Below are 23,827 nucleotides of genomic sequence, written 5' to 3'. Positions count from 1 at the left end.
TATTTTCACAGAGTTGTGTACCACCACCACAATCCATTTTAGGACATTTCCATCACCCCAAAAAGAAACCCCTGTTAGCATTCACTTCGTATTCCAACCCCCACACCCAGCTCTTGGCAGCCACTGATCCAACTTCTGTCTCTATAGAGTTTTCTATTCTGGACATTTCATATAAATGGAATCGTATAATATGTGGTCTTCTGTGTTGGCTTCTTTAGGATAATGGTGTCAAGGTTCATCCATGATGTAGCATGTATCAGCAGTTCTTTTTATGGTTGAATAATATTCCATTGCATAGATATACCACATTTTGTTTATCCATTTATCAGTTAATGAGTTATTTCTACCTTTTGGCTATTGATTAGTGTTGCTATGAACATTTGTATACAACTTTTTATGTGGACATATATTTTTTCTTTTGGATATATATGGAGAGGAGTGGAATTGCTGAGTCATATGGTGATTCTATGTTTAACTTTTCTTTGAGACAGAGTCTCACTCTGTCACCCAGGCTGGAGTGCAGTGGCATGATCTCGGCTCACTGCAACCTGCGCCTCCCAGGTTTCAACGATTCTTGTGCCTCAGCCTCCTGAGTGGCTGGGATTACAGGCGTGAACCACCGCTCCCAGCCCTGTGTTTAACCTTTTTAGGAACTGTCAGGCTTTTTTCCAAGGTGACTGTACCAGTTTACGTCCCCACCAGGAGTTTACAAGGGTTCCAGTTTCTCCACATTCTTGCCAATTCTTCTTGTTATCCATCTTTTTTATTGTAGCCATCCCAGTTTTGATTTGCATTTCCCTGATGGCTAATGATGTTGAGCACCTTTTCATGTACTTGCTTGGATAGTGTATTCTCTTCTCTCTCTCTCTCTTAAATTTTTTTTTTTTTTTTTTCTGAGACAGGGTCTTGCTCTGTCACCCAGGCTGGAGTGCAATGGCGCAATCATGGCTCACTGCACTCTCAACCTCCCAGGCTCAAGCGATCTGCCTACCTCAGCCCCTCGAGTAGCTAAGATCACAGGTGCATGCCACCATGCCAAGCTAATTTTTAAACTTTATATAGAGACAGGTTCTCTCTATGTTGCCCAGGCTGGTCTCGAACTCCTGGACTCAAAGCTATCTTCCTGCCTCAGCCTCCCAAAGTGCTGGCATTACAGGTGTAAGCTACCATGCCAGCTTAAAATTTGTTTGTTTATTTTGAGACAGTGTCTCGCTCTGTTGCCCAGGCTGGAGTGCAGTGGCGCGATCTCAGCTCACTGCAAGCTCCGCCTCCTGGGTTCACGCCATTCTCCTGCCTCAGCCTCCCATGTAGCTGGGACTACAGGTGCCCGCCACCACACCTGGCTAATTTTTTTTTTTGTATTTTTAGTAGAGACGGGGTTTCACTGTGTTAGCCAGGATGGTCTCGATCTCCTGACCTTGTGATCCACCCGCTTCGGCCTTTTAATTTTTTTTATAAGATGAGATCACACTATGTTGCCCAGACTCATCTCGAATTCCTCAGCTCAAGCAGTCCTCCCACCTAAGACTCCTGAGTAGCTGGGACTACAGGTACATGCTGCCACACCCAACTTGAGTAGTGTATTCTTTTTTTTTTTTTTTTTCTTTTTTTGAGACAGGATCTCACTCTGTCACCCAGACTGGAGTTCAGTGATGTGGTCACAGCTCACTGCAGCCTTGACCTCCTGGGCTCAAGCAATCTTCCCACCTCAGCCTCTTGAGTAGCTGGGACTATAGGTGCACACTACCAAGTCTAGCTAATTTTTAAGTTTTTTGTAGACATGAGGTCCCACTATGTTGCCCAGGCTGGTCTCAAACTCCTGGGCTCAAGCAATCCTCCCACCTCAGTCACCCAAAGTGCTGGGATTACAGATATGAGCCACCACACCCAGCAGTAGCATATTCTTTGTAACAGAATCCCAATGAATTGAAAGCTGTGAAGTTTACTTTGCTTCTTATTTTAGTTTTAAAAACTGTAATTATGATTTAAGTTATAACAGTGCTATAAGGTTTTTTTGTTTTCAAACACCCTGATGCATTTTGTTCCAGGTTAGGAAAGCCATTCTTGGGAGAGTAGTATGTACAATGGATTATATGATGATGTAGTCAAGGCTCTTGTTTATAAAAAGCAAGTATCAGTCTAGGCAACAAAAAGTGATACCCCTGTCTCTAAAAAACATTTTAAAATTAGCTGGGTGTGGGGGCACATACCTGTGGTCCCAGCTACTTGGGAGGCTGGAGCGGGAGGATCGATTGCTTGAGCCCAGGAAGTCAAGCCCGCAGTGAGCCACAATCATGCCACTGTACTGCAGCCTGAGTGACAGAGCGGGACCCTATCTCAAAAAAATAAGAGATATCACTTACCAACTTTGCCTGACCTAAAAGAAGTATTGGATAGGTGATAAAATCTTTAGGATGACTTAAGAAAACTACGCTTAGAAAAGGCCAGGAACAAAAGGATGCTGGCCACACAGCCAAAGAGCATATCACAGAATCCATCTAGCAGGGACATAGTTTGCATGGCTAGCAATGCTGTCCCTGGACATTGCCACTTTATTTGCCCCAGGAGATTGATCCTGCTCTAAGAATTCACCACTTCTTCACTTCTCTGCACCAGCAGCTTCAGATTCAAAATCTCAAGCAGATGTATCTGATAAAGGATATCAGATTATATGCCTTCATCCTAGCTTCCAGTAAAGCTGATCTGTTTAGTGGTAGACAAGGCTCAAAAGTGGAAATGTCCTCAAAGCAGAGGGTTTCACATGCAAAATGTGATCATCCAAAAATAAAAACAGTCTTTTTTTTTTAAGACGGAGTTTCGCTCTCGTTGCCCAGGCTGGAGTGCAATGGTGCGATCTCAGCTCACCGCAACTTCCGCCTCCCCGCAACTTCCACCTCCCCGCAACTTCCACCTCCCGGGTTCAAGCAATTCTCCTGCCTCAGCCTCCGGAGTAGCTGGGACTACAGGCATGTGCCACCACGCCCGGCTAATTTTGTATTTTTAGTAGAGACAGGGTTTCTCCATGTTGGTCAGGCTGGTCTCGAGCTCCTGACCTCAGGTTGTCCACCTGCCTCGGACTCCCAAAGTGCTGGGATTACAGGCGTGAGCCACTGCACCCGGCCAAAAAACAAAATTTTTAAAGTCCTCTGTAAGGGAGCATAATTTTTTGTAAGCCAAAAAATATTTAGTAATCTGACAAATTTTTTGCTGCTGTTGGTAAGAATCTTTTAATGAGGTCCTTAAGAGTCTCAGATTATATCAGCATGTCCAGAGTTTGAATGCTGTATTAGGACGTTTTACGTTGCTATGAAGGAATACCTGAGGTTGGGTGACTTATTTAAAAAAAGAGATTTATTTGGCCCAGGGTTCTGCAGGCCGTATAGGAAGCATGGGGCTGGCATCTGCTCCTGGTGAGGGCCTCAGGAAGTTTACAGTCACGGTAGGTGAAGGGGGAGGAGGCACATCACATGATGAGAGCAGGAGCAATTGAGGGTGGGAAGTGCCACACTTTTAAACAGCCAGATCTCAGGTGAGTGACAACTAAACTCACTACCATGAGGAGAGCACCAAGCCATTCATGAGGGATCTGCTCCCATGACCCAAACACCTCCCACTAGGCCCACCTCCAACATTGGAGGTCACGTTTCTTTTTTATTTTTTTGAGACGGGCTTTCACTCTCTTGCCCAGGCAGTAGCATGTTCATGACTCACTGCAGCTTCAACCCCTCAGGCTCAAGTGATCCTCCTGCCTCAGCTTCCTGAGTAGCTGGGCCCACAGTCACACACCACCATGCTTTGCTAACTTTTAAATTTTTTGTAGAGACGAGATCTCACTGTGTTGCCCAAGCTGGTCTCAAACTGGTGGGCTCAGGTGATCCTCCAGCCTCACCCTCCCAAAGTGTTGGGATTACAGGCATGAGCTACCATGCCCAGCCAAGGAAATTACATTGCAACATGAGATTTGGAGGGGACAAAACATCCAAACCACATTAAATAGCTTTGGATGATTTGCTATTAATGTCTTCTGTCACCTTAAAAAGAAATTATAAGTATTGGCCAGGCGAAATGGACTCAAGTAAGCCTTTCCAATCTACATGAAATAATCAGAACATAGGGCCGAGTGCAGTGGTTCATGCCTGTAATCCCAGCACTTTGGGAGGCCGAGGCAGGTGGATCATCTGAGGTCAGGAGTTCAAGACCATCCTGGCAAACATGGTGAAACCTTGTCTCTACTAAAAATACAAAAATTAGCTAGGCATGGTGGTGTGCACCTGTAGTCCCAGCTGTCAGGAGGTAGAGGCAGGAAAATTGCTTGAAGCTGGGATGCAGAGGTTGCAGTGAGCCAAGATCATGCCACTGCACTCCAGCCTGGGTGACAGACTGAGACTCCATCTCAAAAAAAAAAAATTACAAGTATTATTCTGTATATATTGCTAGACCTTTAATTAAGTGAGCTTTGACATGACAAGTTTTCTATCTAAGACCACGTTAACATAGGGACATAAAAAAATGTACCCAGAATTGGCCTGGGCACGGTGGCTTGCTTGAACACAGGAGGTGGAAGTTGCAGTAAACCAAGGTGGTGCCACTGCACTCCAACCTGGGCACCAGAACTATTAAGTTTTTTTCTGAGTATGTGCTACCTTCTTTACTTTTGGTTGTGGAACCACACATTGGAACTCAAACTCTTGAATTTTACTCCTAACCTGTAACAATCTGGTGCTTTGTAATCAAATTCCCATTTGGAAAATGGAATTGTCTTTCCATTTGGGAGACTTCTGTTTTCCCTCAAACTAATTTTATTTTATTTTATGTTTTTTTTTTTAAATTTATTTATTTTTTATTGATAATTCTCGGGTGTTTCTCACAGAGGGGGATTTGGCAGGGTCATAGGACAATAGTGGAGGGAAGGTCAGCAGATAAACAAGTGAACAAAGGTCTCTGGTTTTCCTAGGCAGAGGACCCTGCGGCCTTCCGCGGTGTTTGTGTCCCTGGGAACTTGCGATTAGGGAGTGGTGATGACTCTTAAGGAGCATGCTGCCTTCAAGCATCTGTTTAACAAAGCACATCTTGCACCGCCCTTAATCCATTTAACCCTGAGTGGACACAGCACTTGTTTCAGAGAGCACAGGGTTGGGGGTAAGGTCACAGATCAACAGGATCCCACGGCAGAAGAAGTTTTCTTAGTACAGAACAAAATGAAAAGTCTCCCATGTCTACTTCTTTCTACACAGACACGGCAACCATTCGATTTCTCAATCTTTTCCCCACCTTTCCCGCCCTTCTATTCCACAAAGCCGCCATTGTCATCCTGGCCCGTTCTCAATGAGCTGTTGGGCACACCTCCCAGACGGGGTGGTGGCCGGGCAGAGGGGCTCCTCACTTCCCAGTAGGGGCAGCTGGGCAGAGGCGCCCCTCACCTCCTGGACGGGGCGGCTGGCCGGGCGGGGGGCTGACCCCCCCACCTCCCTCCCGGACAGGGCGGCTGGCCTGGCAGGGGGCTGACCCCCCCACCTCCCTCCCGGATGGGGGTGCTGGCCTGGCGGGGGGCTGACCCCCCCCACCTCCCTCCCGGACTGGGTGGCTGCCAGGCGGAGACGCTCCTCACTTCCCAGACTGGGTGGCTGTCGGGCGGAGAGGCTCCTCACTTCTCAGACGGGGCGGCTGCCGGGCGGAGGGGCTCCTCACTTCTCAGACGGGGCGGTTGCCGGGCAGAGGGTCTCCTCACTTCTCAGACGGGGCGGCCGGGCAGAGATGCTCCTCACCTCCCAGACGGGGTCGCAGCCGGGCAGAGGTGCTCCTCACATCCCAGACGGGGTGGCGGGGCAGAGGCGCTCCCCACATCTCAGACGATGGGCGGCTGGGCAGAGACGCTCCTCACTTCCTAGATGGGATGGCGGCGAGGAAGAGGTGCTCCTCACTTCCTAGGTGGGATGGCGGCCGGGCGGAGACGCTCCTCACTTTCCAGACTGGGCAGCCAGGCAGAGGGGCTCCTCACATCCCAGACGATGGGCGGCCAGGCAGAGACGCTCCTCACTTCCCAGACGGGGTGGCAGCTGGGCAGAGGCTGCAATCTTGGCACTTTGGGAGGCCAAGGCAGGCGGCTGGGAGGTGGAGGTTGTAGCGAGCCGAGATCACGCCACTGCACTCCAGCCTGGGCACCATTGAGCACTGAGTGAACCAGACTCCGTCTGCAATCCCGGCACCTCGGGAGGCCGAGGCTGGCGGATCACTTGCGGTTAGGGGCTGGAGACCGGCCTGGCCAACACAGCGAAACCCCGTCTCCACCAAAACCAGTCAGGCGTGGCGGCCCGAGCCTGCAATCGCAGGCACTCGGCAGGCTGAGTCAGGAGAATCAGGCAGGGAGGTTGCAGTGAGCCGAGATGGCAGCAGTACAGTCCAGCTTCGGCTCAGCATGAGAGGGAGACCGTGGAAAGAGAGGGAGAGGGAGACCGTGGGGAGAGGGAGAGGGAGAGCTCCTAATTTTGTATTTGTAGTAGAGACGGGGTTTCTTCATGTTGCTCAGGCTGTGTCTTGAACTCCCGATCTCAGGTGATCTCAAACTAATTTTATAACCTGTCAATCTGTTAACTAACATTAACTTTGTAAATTTTATGCAAAATATTGTCTAGGTAATATAGAGAATAAAGGAAGTAGATAGGTGCTCTCGCTCCCTCCATAGCAGTAAACTCTATGTGATGACCACTAATTAATAACCTGTATTCCCCTGGTGATCCTGGGAACGAAAGTGATTTCATAGTGAGGACTTTTTTTTTTTAATTAAATTTAGGCTTGAGGGATGGTGTTTGTTCTTTGTTCATGTAAGACAGTGTCTTGCTTTGTCACCCGGGCTGGAGTACATGATTGAGGCTAACTGCAGTCTCGACATCCTGGGCTCAAGCAATTCTCCCACCTCAGCCTCCCAAGTACCTGGGGCTACAGGCACATGCCACCACACCCAGCTAATTTTTTAAATTTTTGTAGAGATGGGGTCTTAACTATGTTGCCTGGGAAATCTGGCTTTTTAATAAAGAGTCTTAGTCATGAATAGAATATTTCCTTTCAATCCATTATTTAAATGAATTTTAAAGGTGCCTTTTTTCTCCTCCTTTTTTTTTTTAGTTTAATACAATTTTTTAGTAAAATGAAGAAATGGATGGACATGTCAAATCTACCACAAGAATTTCGTGAACGTATAGAAAGGCTAGAGAGAAATTTTGAGGTGTCTACTGTAATATTCAAAAAATATGAGCCAATTTTTTTAGATATATTTCAAAATCCATATGAAGAACCACCAAAGTTACCACGAAGCCGGAAGCAGAGGTGAGCCCTTAATCCTTATATAATTGACATAAAGATTATGATACAAACTAAGAGAATATACTTTTTTGAAAGTCTGTTTTTTATGAAAAGTATTCCTGCAAAGAACTTAATTATTTTCTTTTTAAATCCATGTACAATTATCCATATTTGGAAATTCAGGATAATACTTTTACTTATTTTTCTTTCTGTTGTTGTTTTTTTTTTTTTTTTTTTTTTTTTGAGGAGTCTCATTCTGTTGCCCAGGCTGGAGTGCAGTGTCCTGATCTCGGCTCACTGCAACCTCTGTCTCCCAGGTTCAAGCAATTCTCCTACCTTAGCCTCCTGAGTAGCTGGGATCACAGGTGTGCACCACCCCGTCTGGCTCATTTTTTGTATTTTTAGTAGAGACCAGGTCTCACCGTGTTGGCCAAGGTGGTCTCGAACTCCTAACCTCAGGTGATCTACCCACCTCGGCCTCCCAGAGTGCTGGGATTACAGGCATGAGCCACCACACCCAGCCCTATGTTCTGATTATTTTATGCAGGTTGGAAAGGCTTACTTAAGTCCATTTCATAAATAATAGATTACTTTTCTTCATGAATGGAATTTCATGTGTAATTTGATCTATTTGATATTTACATTTACTATTTCAGTTTACATGATATTTAGCGAGCTAGTCAGACAAAAAGTAATTTTTTTCCCTTTTTAGGAGGATTCCTTGCAGTGTTAAGGATCTGTTTAATTTCTGTTGGACACTTTTTGTTTATACTAAGGGTAAGATGACACTTTCAGTGGTCTTACATTTCTACTCTGGGAACTTGGTGCTATTTGACATGAGAGGTTTCTGGTTTTTGTGTCTTTTTTTTTTTTTTTTCCCTTATAAAGGTAATTTTCGGATGATTGGGGATGACTTAGTAAACTCTTATCATTTACTTCTATGCTGCTTGGATCTGATTTTTGCCAATGCGATTATGTGCCCAAATAGACAAGACTTGCTAAATCCATCATTTAAAGGTAAGACCTTTTATTTATTTTTGAAAACTGATTATCAGTTTTTGGAAAAAGATTTTTAAAAGTTGACTATTTTTTTTTCCCTCTGCCCTTCCTACACTGTCAAACTAGGTTTACCATCTGATTTTCATACTGCTGACTTTACGGCTTCTGAAGAGCCACCCTGCATCATTGCTGTACTGTGTGAACTGCATGATGGACTTCTCGTAGAAGCAAAAGGAATAAAGGAGCACTACTTTAAGCCATATATTTCAAAACTCTTTGACAGGAAGGTACTGTACTTATAATTAGATGACTGAGATGTTTACAGATCACCAGTAATGTGAAAAGAAAAAAATGTTTTAAGCAAGTTCTCAGCATTATAGAACTTAGGGTCAGGATTCCCAGGCTTTAGCCTCTACTGTGATTCAGAATTTCCTTATGATCTTGTGTGATGTGAGAAACAGAGCTGTTGAAAAATGTGACCAACTATATGTACTGTTGGGTAAATGTACTGTCAGAGGCAACCGTAGGAGGTACTGATAAAGAATTGTAAAGAATAGAACATCAGAGTAGGGCTGACAAATAATTAGGAAAAACAGGAGGTCAGAATAAGCTGACTAATTTACTGCCACAATTTGAATAACTGCTGACTGTTGACTAAAAGTAGGATGATGTATAACAACCACAGTTTTAATTCCATGTAAATCGAGCAGAAAATCCATGATAGTTTTGTAGCCACTTGTAGGCTATCTGTGTGCATTCTGGACATTGTCTCCTTGGTAATTAACTTAGCTATTTCTACATTTATGAATTGGCTTGTTCCTTTGGGTTTCAATTTCTTATTTCCCCAACGTCGAGCCATTAAATGTAGTTAAGCCTCAAGATTTCTCTTTGGTAAAAGGAGGGGTTTGGATTATGGATCCCACTTTTCAAATATTATGAGATTTTTCTTTAAGCATAAATTCTTCCCTTACTGGTTTCTTCTTCTTTTATACAAATTTTTGTATTCAGTCTTGTGTTCCTCAGATATCTATATTATGGCCCATTGTCTGTATGCTAAACATCTCTAGCAAAGTAAACTTTTTTTAAAGGATCCCAGGGACTGGGCGCGGTGGCTCACGCCTGTAATCCCAACACTTTGGGAGGCCAAGGCAGGTGGATTGCTTGAGCCCAAGAGTTCCAGACGAACCTGAGCAACATGGCAAAACCTTGTCTCTACAAACAATACAAAAATTAGTTGGGCATGGTGGTGCACAACTGTAGTCCCAGCTACTTGGCACGCTGAGGCTGCAGTGAGCCATGATTGTACCACTGCACTGCAGCCCTGGTGACAGAACAAAACCCTGTCTCAAAAAAAAAAAAAAGTTAAAAAAAAAAGTTATTTGCATGCTAAATAGTTTATCCTAGTCTGAAAGAAATATTTAATAATTCTGTTTTGTGTGTGTGTTATAACAATATGGAAATTTAGATAAATTTCACGTTTGTGTGTGTATTAATATGCTTAATTATATGGTGTCCCAAAATAATTTTTTGTTCACAGATATTAAAAGGAGAATGCCTCCTGGACCTTTCAAGTTTTACTGATAATAGGTAAATATCTAGTACTAATGGTGCCTGGCTTATCACAAGCTGTCATATTTGTTGATTTGTTGAAATTTGTTAAGCATAACAGTATATCAAAGTAAGACCTCCAAATTCAAGTTCTCTCTGCTTTAGTGGCATTGAATGTTTATTATCACTAAGACTTGTTGGCTTTAAATACATTTATTTTAAGAAATCAAGGCCAGGCACGGTGGCCCACACCTGTAAACCCATCACTTTGGAAGGCCAAGGCAGGCAGATTGCTTGAGCTCAGAAGGTTGGAGACCAGCCTGGGCAACATGGTGAAACCCTGTCTCTACAAAAAATACAAAAATCAGCCAGACGTAGTGGTGTGAGCCTGTGGTCCCAGCTACTTGGGAGGTTGAGGTTGGAGGATCGTTTGAATCTGGGAGGTTGTGGTTGCAGTGAGCCGTGATTGCACCACTGCACTTCAGTCTAGGTGACAGAGTGAGACCCTATTTCCAAAAAAAAAAAAAAAAAGAAAGAGGCCGGGCATGGTGGCTCACGCCTGTAATCCCAACACTTTGGGAGGCCAAGGCGGGCCGATCACTTGAGGTCAGGAGTTTGAGATCAGCCTGGCCAGAGATCAGCCTGGCCAACATGGTGAAACCGCATCTCTACTAAAAATTCAAAAATTATCTGGGTGTGGTGGTGCACACCTGTAATCCCAGCTGCTTGGGAGACTGAGGCAGGAGAATCACTTGAACCCAGGAGGCAGAGGCTGCAGTGAGCTGAGATCATGCCACTGCACTCCAGCCTAGGCGACAGAGCGAGATTCCATCTCAATTAAAAAAAAAAATTATTGATACTTACGTATTTATTTTTATTTTTTTAGAGATGGGATCTCACTGTGTTGCCCAGGCTGGTCTCTAATTCCTGGCCTCAAGCAATCCTCTCACCATAGCCTCCCAAAGTGCTAGGATTACAGGTATGACCCACCACACCCGGCCAATTGGCATTTAAAACAGCTACTCAGCCAGGCGTGCAATGGCTTATGCCTATAATCCCAGCACTTTCGGAGGCCAAGGCAGGCAGATCACGAGGTCAGGAGATTGAGACCATCCTGGCCAAAATGGTGAAACCCGGTCTCTACTAAAAATACAAAAATTAGCTCGGTGTGGTGGCACACGCCTGTAGTCCCAGCTACTTGGGAGGCTGAGGCAGGCGGATCGCTTGAACCCAGGAGGTGGAGGTTGCAGTAAGTTGAGATCGCACCACTGCACTCCAGCCTGGGCAGCAGAGCAAGACTCATCTCAAAAAAAAAAAAAAAAAGAAAGAAAAGAAATTAAGGCCGGGCACAGTGGCTCACACCTGTAATCCCAGCACTTTGGAAGGCCAAGGCAGCCAGATCGCTTGAGCTCAGAAGGTTGGAGACCAGCCTGGGCAACATGGTGAAACCTTGTCTCTACAAAAAATACAAAATCAGCCAGACGTAGTGGCGTGAGCCTGTAGTCCCAGCTACTTGGGAGGCTGAGGTGGGAGGATCATTTGAATCTGGGAGGTTGAGGTTGCAGTGAGCCATGATTGCACCACTGCACTTCAGCCTGCTTGACGGAGTGAGACCCTATTTCCAAAAAAAAAAACAAGAAAAAAAGAAAGAGGCCGGGCATGGTGGCTCACTCCTGTAATCCCAACACTTTGGGGGGCCGAGGTGGGCTGATCACTTGAGGTCAGGAGTTTGAGACCAGCCTGGCCAACATGGTGAAACCCCATCTCTACTAAAAATACAAAAATTATCTGGGTGTGATGGCGTGCACCTATAATCCCAGCTGCTTGGAAGACTGAGGCAGGAGAATCACTTGAACCCAGGAGGCGGAGGTTGCAGTGAGCCCAGATCACACCATTGCACTCCAGCCTAGGCAACAGAGCGAGATTCCATCTCAATTAAAGAAAAAAAATCATTGACACGTATTTATTTTTATTTTTTTAGAGATGGGATCTCACTGTGTTGCCCAGGCTGGTCTCTAATTCCTGGCCTCAAGCAATCCTCTCACCATAGCCTCCCAAAGTGCTAGGATTACAGGCATGACCCACCACACCCAGCCAAATGGCATTTAAAAGAGCTACTCAGCCAAGCTCGAAGTGACTCACACCTATAATCCTAGCACTTTGGGAGGCCAAGGTGGGCCAACATGGTGAAACCCCGTCTCTACTGAAAGTACAAAAACTATCCGGGCATGGTGGCACAAGCCTGTAGTCCCGGCTACTCAGGAGGCTAAGGCAGGAGAATTGCTTAAACCTGGGAGGTAGAGGCTGCAGTGTGCCAAGACTGGGCCACTGCATTCCAGCTTGGGTGACGGAGTGAGACTCTGTCTTAAAAACAAAAAACAGCCACTCTCTTGAGAAACTCATAAACAGACCCAATGACTCTGTATTTGATTTTACATTCTTTCATTAATCACATGTTGGCAGTGCCCATATTTTTTTTTGGAGACGGAGTCTCGCTCTGTCGCCCAGGCTGGAGTGCAGTGGCGCGATCTCAGCTCACTGCAAGCTCCGCCTCCCAGGTTCATGCCATTCTTCTGCCTCAGCCTCCCAAGTAGCTGGGACTACAGGCACCTCCCAAGTAGCTGGGACTACAGGCGCCCGCCACCACGCCCGGCTAATTTTTTGTATTTTTAGTAGAGATGGGGTTTCACCGTGTTAGCCAGGATAGTCTTGATCTCCTGACCTCGTGATCTGCCCGCCTCGGCCTCCCAAAGTGCTGGGATTACAGGCGTGAGCCACCGCGCCTGGCCCATTTTTTTTTTTTTTTTTTTTTTTTTTGAGACAGAGTCTTGTTCTGTTGCCAGGCTGGAGTGCAGTGGTGTAATCTTGGCTCACTGCAACCTCCACCTGCCATATTTCAAAGCCACTAGTGTTTCCTTAGTGATCAGAAACCATTTTCATAATTAGATTCAACTAGTTTTCAGATTAAGTATATGTAGTCTCTCACTTTTGAAAGTAATTTATTGGTTGTATATATGAATTTGAAGAATGTCCATAATCAGGTAGGACCCTCTGATATTGTTAGATGGTCAGAGTTAATAAAAATTAGAAAGTTGTCAAGTTTTCTAAGCTGTAAACACTAAATCTATCTTCAAGTCAAAATAAATCCATTGTGTAACTTAGTATTACAGCTTATAATAATTCTCTTTGCAGCAAAGCAGTGAATAAGGAGTATGAAGAGTATGTTCTAACTGTTGGTGATTTTGATGAGAGGATCTTTTTGGGAGCAGACGCAGAAGAGGAAATTGGAACACCTCGAAAGTTCACTCGTGACACCCCATTAGGGAAACTGACAGCACAGGCTAATGTGGAGTATAACCTTCAACAGCACTTTGAAAAAGTAATATAACCTAGCCTGGCCTCAATCTTGAATGATCTTTTTCTCTCTGTGTGTGATTCTACTAACAGCAGAAGCATCTTTCAAGTTAAATCTTGAGCTTCTTCTACTAATTCATATTTCTCATGAAAGCCTTAAAAGGTAATTTTTAAAACTGGCATTTAGTATTTTTACCTCATTTCTTACTATTCATATTTTATATCCATTTTCCCAGCATGACTGGGTTTATTAGTAGAGTATATGTCTTTTGACATGAAGAGGAAGTTTTGCTTTCTTACAGTTCTTTCTTTGCTTCAACTTAGGCTCCGTTACGTTGCTTTAAATTTTAGTTTGCTTTCCTACCCGTGACACAAACTATGTGTTTTTCTGTAACTTCAGCCATAAAACTCTGGACTTGATTGTTAATGGCCAAGGCTTAACTCTGTATTTATGTGTAAAATGGGTTGGAGGAAGAGATCTAATGGAAAATTCACTTGTCTAGAACATAGTAAAACCTAAGTTTTAGTCCAAGCTTTACCATTAACTTTGTCAACTGAAATAAGTTTTTAAATTTCTCTGTTCCTATTTCCTCATATATAAAATTAAATTATGTATACATTATCTTTCAAATCAGTGGTGTGAAGATTAAATGAAATTATATGTAGAAAGTGCTTTTAAAAAGTGTTATTCAAATATAAGGATGTTATTAGCATAGTATTGCTAAAAATTTCATGGATATTACAAATATGAATAGAGAAGATGGTATATGCACTGAATTAAACACATAATAAGGAAGATGGTAACTTTTAAAAACTCACGGATTTTTCTTTTCTGACAGAAAAGGTCATTTGCACCTTCTACCCCACTGACCGGACGGAGATATTTACGAGAAAAAGAAGCAGTCATTACTCCTGTTGCATCAGCCACCCAAAGTGTGAGCCGGTTACAGAGTATTGTGGCTGGTCTGAAAAATGCACCAAGTGACCAACTTATAAATATTTTTGAGTATGTACAATACTGTTATTTTTCCAAATGTCTTTTTAAAATTAGATTTCTTGTTCCATTCTATTTTTAGTATATTCAGAATTCTCAAGATAGTGGATGTTCATCTGGCAAGTTTTACTATACCATTTCAATCACAAAATATATTGACCTAAAACCATATTGAAGTACCTATTAAAAATTATGTATAACAGTCAGGCACAGTGGCACACACCTGTAGTCCCAGCTACTTGGGAAGCTAGTTTGGCCAACATAGTGAGACTAATTCCAGCTTGGCCAAGATAGGGAGACCTTATCTCTCCCTTTTTTTTTGTTTTTTTTTTGAGACAGGGTCTCGCTATGTCTCCCAGGCTGGAGTGCAGTGCCGCAATCACAGCTCACTGCAGCCTCCACCTCCTGGGCTCAAGCAACTCTCCCACCTCAGTCCCCCAAGTTAGCTGGAACTACAGGTGCAAGCCACCATGCCTAATTTTTTATATTTTTTGTAGAGACAGGGTTTTGCCATGTTGCTCAGGCTGGTCTTGAACTTCTGAGCTCAAGTGATCCAACTGCCTCGGCCTTCCAAACTGCTGGGATTACAGGCATGAGCGACCATGCCAGGCCAACTTTGTCTCTTAAAAAAAATTATATATAATGTTATTTCATGGGAGTATAGACTTTTAGAGATAAGTGTACCTTAAAGATTATTTAGCACTGATATTTCACTCTTATAACTACCCCTGAGTTATGCATGTTTTGATTTTACATTGACTTTATTTTTAATTTATTTTTATTTTTGTTTGTTTCTAAAGATCACCTGTATAAGGACATACATTAACTTTAAATGGGGCCATTCTAAATGTCCATTAGATAGGGGACTAATTGCATATTGGTGGTACAGCCATAAAAATGGATTTATTTATTTATTTATTTATTTATTTATTTATTTATTTTGAGACAGAGTTTCACTCTTGTTGCCCAGGCTGGAGTGCAATGGCATGATCTCGGCTCACTGCAACCTCCACCTCCCAGGTCCAAGTGATTCTCCTGCCTCAGCCTCCCGAGTAGCTGGGATTACAGGCGTGCGCCACCACGCCCAGCTAATTTTGTATTTTTAGTAGAGACAGGGTTTCTCCATGTTGGTCAAGCTGGTCTCAAACTCCCGACCTCAGATGATTCGCCTGCCTCGGCCTCCCAAAGTGCTGGGATTACAGACGTGAGCCACCGCGCCCAGCCCATAAAATGGAATTTTATACAGTTTTTTTTTTTGTTTTTTAAGGAAGCATGATTCCTGGTAAAGATGGTAGAATGAAGCCAGATCAGAGAACCTTCTTTCCTAATACCTAATAAAATAAGAGAATAGTCAAAACCAGCAAAATATTTATCAATGGCAACCAAATGAGGAGAGAGATATGATTTCATGACAAATTTCCAAAGTAGAGATCAAAAAGAAAATTCATGATTCTGGTATTCCCATCCCTAAGCAGTGTTGGGGAAAGAGGGTATAGTGATAGATCTTGAGAATTCTCATCAATACTTCAGATTTGGAGGGAAACAAATGGGGGAGTAGGCAGACAGATAAAAAGTCATACAAACCTTCCCAATTGAAAGTCCGTATGTACCACCAGCAGGATCCCAGCAGAACAACTGCCAAGGGCTGCCATTTTCCAACATTCCATGATGATTTGGGGAGAGATCCTCATATACCTAGACGTCCCTGACTAGGAATAGTGAACCCTAGAATAGGAATATTTAACTAAATCTCAGAAGACAAAGCGAAGCCCTGGTCCTCCAAGAAAAGCTGAACATAGCTGAGCTCTCCCCCATTCCTCAAACCTTCAGGATACAAGAAAGTAGACAGAACAATCTCCAGCCTCAGAAATAGCTCAGAAGAAAAGCATACTGCCAGTAAGATAGGAAGACTGTCACGGATCTACCTTCCATATCATTTGAGTAAATAGATCTGGATTGAACTACTGTTCAAACATGAATAAGTTGAAAAGCAGTGACAAAGCAAATATACAAATATGTCAATAAGAAAAAGGAAGTATAGAATGCAAAAGAAAAAAAATCTAGACACAAATAAATGGAAACGCTGGGTGTTGTGGCCCATGCCTGTAATTGCAGCACTTTGGGAGGCTGAGGCGAGAGGATCAGTTGAGCCCAGGAGTTTAAGACCAGCCTGAGCAACATGATGAGACCCTGTCTCTACAGAAAAAATTTAAAAATTAGTCATGGTGATATGCATTCCAGCTACTTGGGAGGCTGAGATGGGAGAATCACTTGAGCTCAGCCATGATCACACCATTGTACTCTAGCCTGGGCAACAGAGCGAGACCCTATCTCAACAAAAAAAAAAAAAGGAAAGACATCTGTGTTTGTGGACTGGAAGACTTAATATTGTTAAGATATCCATATTAGAGGCCAGGTGCAATGGCACATATCTGTAATCCCAGGACTTTGAGAGGCCAGGGTGGGTGTATTGCTTGAGCTCAGGAGTTTGAGACTAGCCCGGGCAACATAGCGACACCTCATCTCTACAAAAACAAAAAAACAAAACAAATAAAACCTGGTCATTGTTTCTTTCTTTCCTTTTTTTTTTTTTTTTCTTTTGAGGCGGAGTCTTGCTCTATTGCCAGGCTGGAGTGCAATGACATGATCTTGGCTCACTGCAACCTCCACCTCCCAGGTTCAAGCAGTTCTCCTGCCTCAGCCTCCAAGTAGCTGGGACTACAGGCGCCTGCCACCATGCCCAGCTAATTTTTATATTTTTAGTAGAGATGGGGTTTCACCATGTTGGCCAGGATGGTCTCGATCTCCTGACCTCATGAGCTGCCTGCTTCAGCCTCGCAAAGTGCTGGGATTACAGGCATGAGCCAAGGGCTGCCATTTTCCAACATTCCATGAAGATTTGGGGAGAGATCCTCATATAACTAGACGTCCCTGACTAGGAATAGTGAACCCTGGAATAGGCTTTTTTTTTTTTGTTTTGTTTTGTTTTTTTTTTTTTTAGACAGAGTTTCGCCCTTGTTGCCCAGGCTGGAGTACAATGGCCCGATCTGCAGCCTTCGCCTCCCAGGTTCAATCGATTCTCCTGCCTCAGCCTCCTGAGTAGCTGGGATGACAGGCATGCACCACCACGCCCGGCTAATTTTTTGTATTTAGTAGAGACGGGGTTTTACCATATTGGTCAGGCTGGTCTCGAACTCCTGACCTCAGGTGATCCACCCACCCTGGCCTCCCAAAGTGCTGGGATTACAACAGGTGTTAGCCAACAGGCCTGGCCAATTTTTGTATTTTTAGTAGAGACATGTTTCACCATGTTGGCCAGGCCGATCTCCAACTCCTGGCCTCAAGTGATCCACCTACCTTGGCCTCCCGAAGTGCTGGGAATATAGATGTGAGCCACCATGCCCGGTGTCAAACCTAAAAGCTTTAACATAGCAAAGAAAACAATCAACAGAGTAAAAAAAACAACCTATAGAATGGGAAAAGTAATTGTAAACCATATATTAGTTAAGGGGTTCATACTCAGAATATGTAAAGAACTCCTGAAACTCAAGAACAACAAATAACTCAATTTAAAAACGTATAAAGGATTCAGCAGATATTTCTCCAAAGAGTATATGCAACTGGCCAAAAGCATATGAAAAAATATTTGATATCACTAATCAGGGAGTTACAAATCAAAATCACAATGAGATAATACCTCACATATCAGCATAGCCACTTCCCACTCATCACCCCAAAAAAACCAAAATAGCAGGTGTTGGTAAGAATGTGTAAAAATTGGGACCCTTACACACTGTTGGTAGAATTGTAAAGTGGTGCAGCCACTATGGAAAACAGTACGGACGTTCCTCAAAAAATTAAAAATAGAACTACCATATAACTCAGCAATACCACTTCTGGGTATACATCCAAAAGAATTAAAAACAGCATCTCAAAGGGATATTTGCACATCATGTTAACTGCAGCATTATTCCCAATAGCCAAGTTGTGGAAACACCTTAAGTGTCCATTGATAGAGAAAGAAAATGCTGTGGGTGTATGTGTGTGTGTGTAGATAGGTAGATAGGTAGGTAGGTAGGTAGGTAGGTAGGTAGGTAGGTAGGTAGGTAGATAGATAGATAGAAAGAAATAGAGATATGAGATGGAATATTATTCAGCCTTATAAAAGAAGGAAATACTGCCATTTGCTACAACATGGATGAACCTTTAGTACATTATGTTAAGTGAAGTTAGTCAATCACAAAAAGACAAAATACTGCATGATTCCACTCATATAAGGTACATAGTATAGTCAAACTTACAGCAGCAAAGTTTTATTACATGTGTATACAATCTGTATTTTTATTATATAATTTTACGTGTTAAAATATTTTATCATATAAAGCTTTGCTTACATATGTAGATTTCCAACTGAGAATACAACTTTGGCTGCTAAAAACTAATTCTTGAAAGAAGGCATGTTGGCCGGGCATGGTGGCTCATGCCTGTAATCCCAGCATTTTGGGAGGCTGAGGTGGGTGGATCACAAGGTTAGGAGATCTAGACCAGCCTAGGCAACATGGTGAAACCCCATCTCTACTAAAACTACAAAAATTAGCCAGGTGTGGTAGTGCGCGCCTATAATCCCAGCTACTTGGGAGGTTGAGACAGGAGAATCGCTTGAACCCTGGAGGAAGAGGTTGCAGTGAACTGAGATCGCACCACTGCACTCCAGCCTGGGTTACAGAGCGAGACTCCGTCTCAAAAAAAAAAAAAAAAAAAAAGAAGAAGAAGGCATGTTAGTATTCTGGTGTGGAGTCTTTTTTGTTTGTTTGTTTTTGTTTGGTTTGGTAATTGGTTCCTCTTGTATTTTGTAGATCTTGTGTGCGTAATCCTGTGGAAAACATTATGAAAATACTAAAAGGAATAGGAGAGACTTTCTGTCAACACTATACTCAATCAACAGATGAACAGCCAGGATCTCACATAGGTAAGAAAAGAAAACTACAGTTGGCATAGCATTGAAAATAAGTAATCCCCCCAAAATTAGAAATTCACGGTTTTTCCTCTCCCGTTATTCTTATTTCTTTTTTTTTTTTGAGACCGAGTTGCCCAGGCTGGAGTGCAATGGCATGATCTCGACTCACTGCAACCTCCTCCTCCCAGGTTCAAACGATTCTCCTGCCTCAGCCTCCCAAGTAGCTGCTATTACAGGGACCCACCACCACACCGGCTAATTTTGTATGTTTAGTAGAGATGGAGTTTCACCATGTTGGTTAGGCTGGTCTCAGACTCCGGACCTCAGGTGATCTGCTTGCCTAGGCCTCCCAAAGTGCTAGGATTACAGGCGTGAGCCACCATTCCCGGCCTGCCCTGCTATTCTTAATGTATCAGATTTAAGTTTATATATAATTTTTGCTTTTCAGTCCTTAACAACTAAAATTCATTAACACATGTTTTCTCTGTATTTCCCTGATAGACTTTGCTGTAAACAGACTAAAGCTGGCAGAAATTTTGTATTATAAAATACTAGAGACTGTAATGGTTCAGGAAACACGAAGACTTCATGGAATGGACATGTCAGTAAGTAAATCCACTCTCTGAGCTACTGGCAAGGTCCAAAAGTCAGCCTGGAAGCAGTGTTTTGAGAGGCTCTGTAAGGCGTTGTGGGAGTCACCAATCTATGACACACTTGGCCAGGATGGCATTTAGTTGACTTTAGCACATGCAAGGCTAATCAATCTAGGCAGAAATGTGAAATAACGTAAAGTTCATCTTTGGTACACATCAGTGTTTTTTAAGTGTTTTTTTTTTTTTTTTTTTTTTCTGTCCTTCATTCCCAGCTAGTGATCCCTCCACCTGTTAAAGCAACTGTTAATTAAGACATTTGTCCATACCTTCCAAGGATTTTGGATTATAAAATGGTATGGGTTTTTCTTGTTTTGTTTTGTTTCTTTAACTATGACCAAGTCAGACCACTGTCTCCAATAAGATGTGTAAAAGAATTTTTCTACAAATTCAGACCTATCATATGATCTTTGTTTCCTCCTCCTTCATTATTTCCCTCTGCAGTCACTCTTGGAGTCTTCTAACTTTTCTATCCCAATAGGAACAGGTTGATGTCTTAAGGATGCTGCGTAACTATTGTAATAGAGTTTCTCTTTGTGTTTACCTGGAAATTTTTTTCATGTCTTTTCTGTGTTGGTTTCTCTTTTCTGTGTCTTTCTTTTTCATAGTTTACGCTAATATCTTGATGGTGCATACACTTCCATGGCTTCCTGAGAAAGAAGTAAATTTTTTTTTTTTTAGACTGAGTCTTGCTCTGTTGCCCAGGCTGGAGTGCAGTGGCACGATCTCGGCTCACTGCAACCTCCATCTCCTGGGTTCAGGTGATTCTTATGCCTCAGCCTCTTGAGTAGCTGGGGTTACAGGCGCCCGCCACCACGCCTGGCTAATTTTTGTATTTTTAGTAAAGACAGGGTTTCACCATGTTAGCCAGGCTGGTCTCGAGCTCCTGACCTCAAGTGATCTGCCCACCTCAGCCTCACAAAGTGCTAGGATTACAGCCATGAGCCACCTCACCCAGCTGAAAGAAGTAAATTTTTTAACTTTTATTTATTTTAATTTTTTTAATTTTATTTATTTATTTTTTTAGATGTAGTCTCGCTCTGTCACCCAGGCTGGAGTGCAGTGGCGCGATCTTGGCTCACTGCAACCTCCGCCTCGCGAGTTCAAGCAGTTCTCTGCCTCAGCCTCCCGACTAGCTGGGATTACAGGCGCCTGCCACCACACCCAGCTAATTTTTTCGTATTTTTAGTAGAGACGGGGCTTCACTGTCTTGGCCAGGCTGGTCTTGAACTCCTGACCATGTGATCCACCTGCCTTAGCCTCCAAAAGTGCTGGGATTACAGGTGTGAGCCACTGCACCTGGCCAACTTTTTATTTTGAAATAATTATAGATTCACAGAAAGTTGCAAAAGTAGTACAGAGAAGTCCCACACATCCTTTATCCAGTTTCCCTAATGGTTACAATTTTATATACTGCAGTATCAGAACTGGGGAATTGACATTAAAACAGTGTGTGTGTGTGTGTGTGTGTGTGTGTGTATAAAATTGTATCATATGCATAGATTAACCATAACCAAAATAAAAATACTGAACTGTTAAAGATCTCCTTCCTGCTACCCCTTTATAGTTAGTTACACTTACTCCTCTCAGCCATTATTGTTTTCCACTTCTACATACTCTGTATGAATTTAGTTCTTTTCAATTTGTTTTAGTTATATTGTAGCCCAGGATATGTTTTATCATGGTGAATGTTCTGTGGCCACTTGAAAAGAATGTATACAGTAAATCCTCACATTTAACCTTGTCAGTAGGTTCTTGGAAACAGTGACTTTAAGCAAAAACAACATACAATGAAACCAATTTTACCATAGGCTAACTGATATAAACAGGAGTTTAAGTTCTTTTGGCATATGTCTAGTCACAAAAACCTCACCAAACTTCTAAATAAAGACAAAACACTTATAATGTTAAACATTGAAATAAATAAGAGAAAGTAATAAAAATAAGGAAGATTATTACTTATCCAGTTATTCCTGTTCAGGGTCATGAGAGCCTACCTCAGCAGCTCACGATGAAAGGCGGGCCCCAACCCTAGTCAGGACACCATTTCATCATAGGACACACACACACCCACACTTACACTGTCACAATTTAGATATGCCAGTTAAGCTAATGTACATATCTTTGGAATGTAAGAAGAAACCAGAGTACCCAGAGAGAACTCATGCAGACGTAGGAGAATGTGTAAATTTCATACAGTGGCCCCAGCTGGGAATCCATTATTTTTCATTGTTACAACAAACTGGTGTTGAGCGAAATGGTGTTATTCAAGGATCTGCTGTATTCTGCTATTGTTGGATGGAGTGTTCTGTAAATGTCAGTTTTATCTTGTTGGTTGATGTTGTTATTTTATATTCTTGCTGATTTCCAGTCTAGTTGTTATATCAGTTGTTGACAGAGGATGTTGAAGTGTCCATGTATGATTGTAGATTTGTCTATTTCTTTCAAGTCTGTCAGCTTTTCTCCACGTATTTTGAAGCTCTGCTGTTTGATGCTTACACATTTAGGATTGCTGTCTGCCTTCTTGATGAATTGACTCTGTAATCATTATAAAATGTTCCTCCCTGGCCAGGCGCAGTGGCTCATGCCTGTAATCCCAGCACTTTGGGAGACTGAGGCAGGTGGATCACCTGAGGTCAGGAGTTCAAGACCAGCCTGGCCAACATGGTGAAACACTGTCTCTACTGAAAATATAAAAGGCTGGGCATGGTAGCTCACATCTCTAATCCTAGCACTTTAGGAGACTGAGGCAAGTGGATCACCTGAGGTCAGGAGTTCGAGACCAGCCTGACCAACATGGCAAAATCCCGTCTCAACTAAAAATACAAAAATTAGCCAGGCGTGGTGGCGCATGCCCGTAGTCCCAGCTACTCAGGAGTCTGAGACAGGAGAATCGCTTGAACCCAGGAGGTGGCAGTTGCAGTGAGCCAAGATCGCACCACTGCACTCCACCCTGTGCAACAGAGTGAGACTCCATCTCAAAAAAATAAATATATGAAAATACAAAAATTAGCCGGGTATGGTGGCAGGCGCCTGCAATCCCAGCTACTCGGGAGGCTGAAGCAGGAGAATCGCTTGAGCCCGGGAGGAAGAGGTTGCAGTGAGCCGAGATCACACCACTGCACTCCCACGTGGAAGACAGAGAGAGACTGCATCTCAAAATAAATAAATAAATAAGGCTGGGCACGGCGGCTCACGCCTGTAATCCCAGCACTTTGGGAGGCCAAGCCGGGTGGATCACAAGGTCAGGAGTTTGAGACCAGCCTGGCCAACATAGTGAAACCCCATCTCTACTAAAAATACAACAATTGGCCAGGCATAGTGGTGTGCACCTGTAATCCCAGCTACTCGGGAGGCTGAGACAGGAGAATCTCTTGAACCTGGGAGGTGGAGGTTGTTGTGAGCCAAGATTGCACCACTGCACTCCAGCCTGGGCAACAGAGCGAGACTCTATCTAAAAAAAAAAAAACTTAAAAATAAAATAAATAAATAAAATGTTCCTCTCTGTCCCTGGTAATTTTCTTTGCATCTACCTGATGTTTATGAATAACCACTCCTGCCTTCTTTTCATTAATGTTTGCATGGCATATCTTTTTCCATCCTTTTTCAAGTGACCTTTGAAGTGAATTTCTTATAGTCAGTGTGTAGTTGGGTCATTTTTTTTTTTCTAATCTGTGCTAATCTCTGTCATTTAATTAGTAAATTTAGATGACTTAAAATTAGTAATTGTTATGTTAGCACTTAAGTCTGCCATTTTATTTTTGTTTTCTGTTTGTTCTCACTCTTTTTTTTTTAATTTTGTTTTCTTTTTCCTCCCTCTCTGTTGGTTACTTGAACATTTTTTAGAGCCTTGTAAAGATTTTTTTTTGTATAGATGTTTTGTATAGCCATATAACCAATTTAAGTAAAGTATAGAAATCTTACCTCACTTAAAGTCCCTTTTTAAAGATTTTGCATAAGTAACTTTATTTTAGACTCATAATTGATTGATAGTTGTCTATGTACAGAATTCAAGATTGGTGGGAG

At 42.9% G+C, this 23,827-nt stretch overlaps 1 protein-coding gene across 7 annotated transcripts in view; it reads left to right on the top strand.

Annotated features, from left to right (window-relative positions):
* The window catches only part of RBL1 (RB transcriptional corepressor like 1), a 99,649-nt gene that overhangs the window by 20,689 nt on the left and 55,133 nt on the right, over positions 1-23,827 (top strand). For 5 of the 7 annotated variants that reach the window (XM_047440348.1, NM_002895.5, XM_047440349.1 and 2 more), the window contains 9 exons: positions 7,123-7,323; positions 8,012-8,076; positions 8,188-8,316; positions 8,425-8,585; positions 9,836-9,885; positions 13,039-13,225; positions 14,040-14,206; positions 19,051-19,163; positions 19,653-19,756. In XM_047440348.1, coding sequence (XP_047296304.1) covers positions 7,123-7,323; positions 8,012-8,076; positions 8,188-8,316; positions 8,425-8,585; positions 9,836-9,885; positions 13,039-13,225; positions 14,040-14,206; positions 19,051-19,163; positions 19,653-19,756 — 1,177 coding nt within the window. Of the gene's footprint in view, positions 1-7,122; positions 7,324-8,011; positions 8,077-8,187; positions 8,317-8,424; positions 8,586-9,835; positions 9,886-13,038; positions 13,364-14,039; positions 14,207-19,050; positions 19,164-19,652; positions 19,757-23,827 lie in introns of all 7 variants that reach the window. The other 2 variants (NM_001323282.2, NM_001323281.2) reach the window with 2 other exon arrangements.

This window comes from Homo sapiens, chromosome 20 (assembly GCF_000001405.40).
Source record: "Homo sapiens chromosome 20, GRCh38.p14 Primary Assembly".
Taxonomy (NCBI): Eukaryota; Metazoa; Chordata; class Mammalia; order Primates; family Hominidae; genus Homo; species Homo sapiens.
Note: the sequence above shows the minus strand (reverse complement) of the source record. Positions and strands in the feature narration are given on the sequence as shown.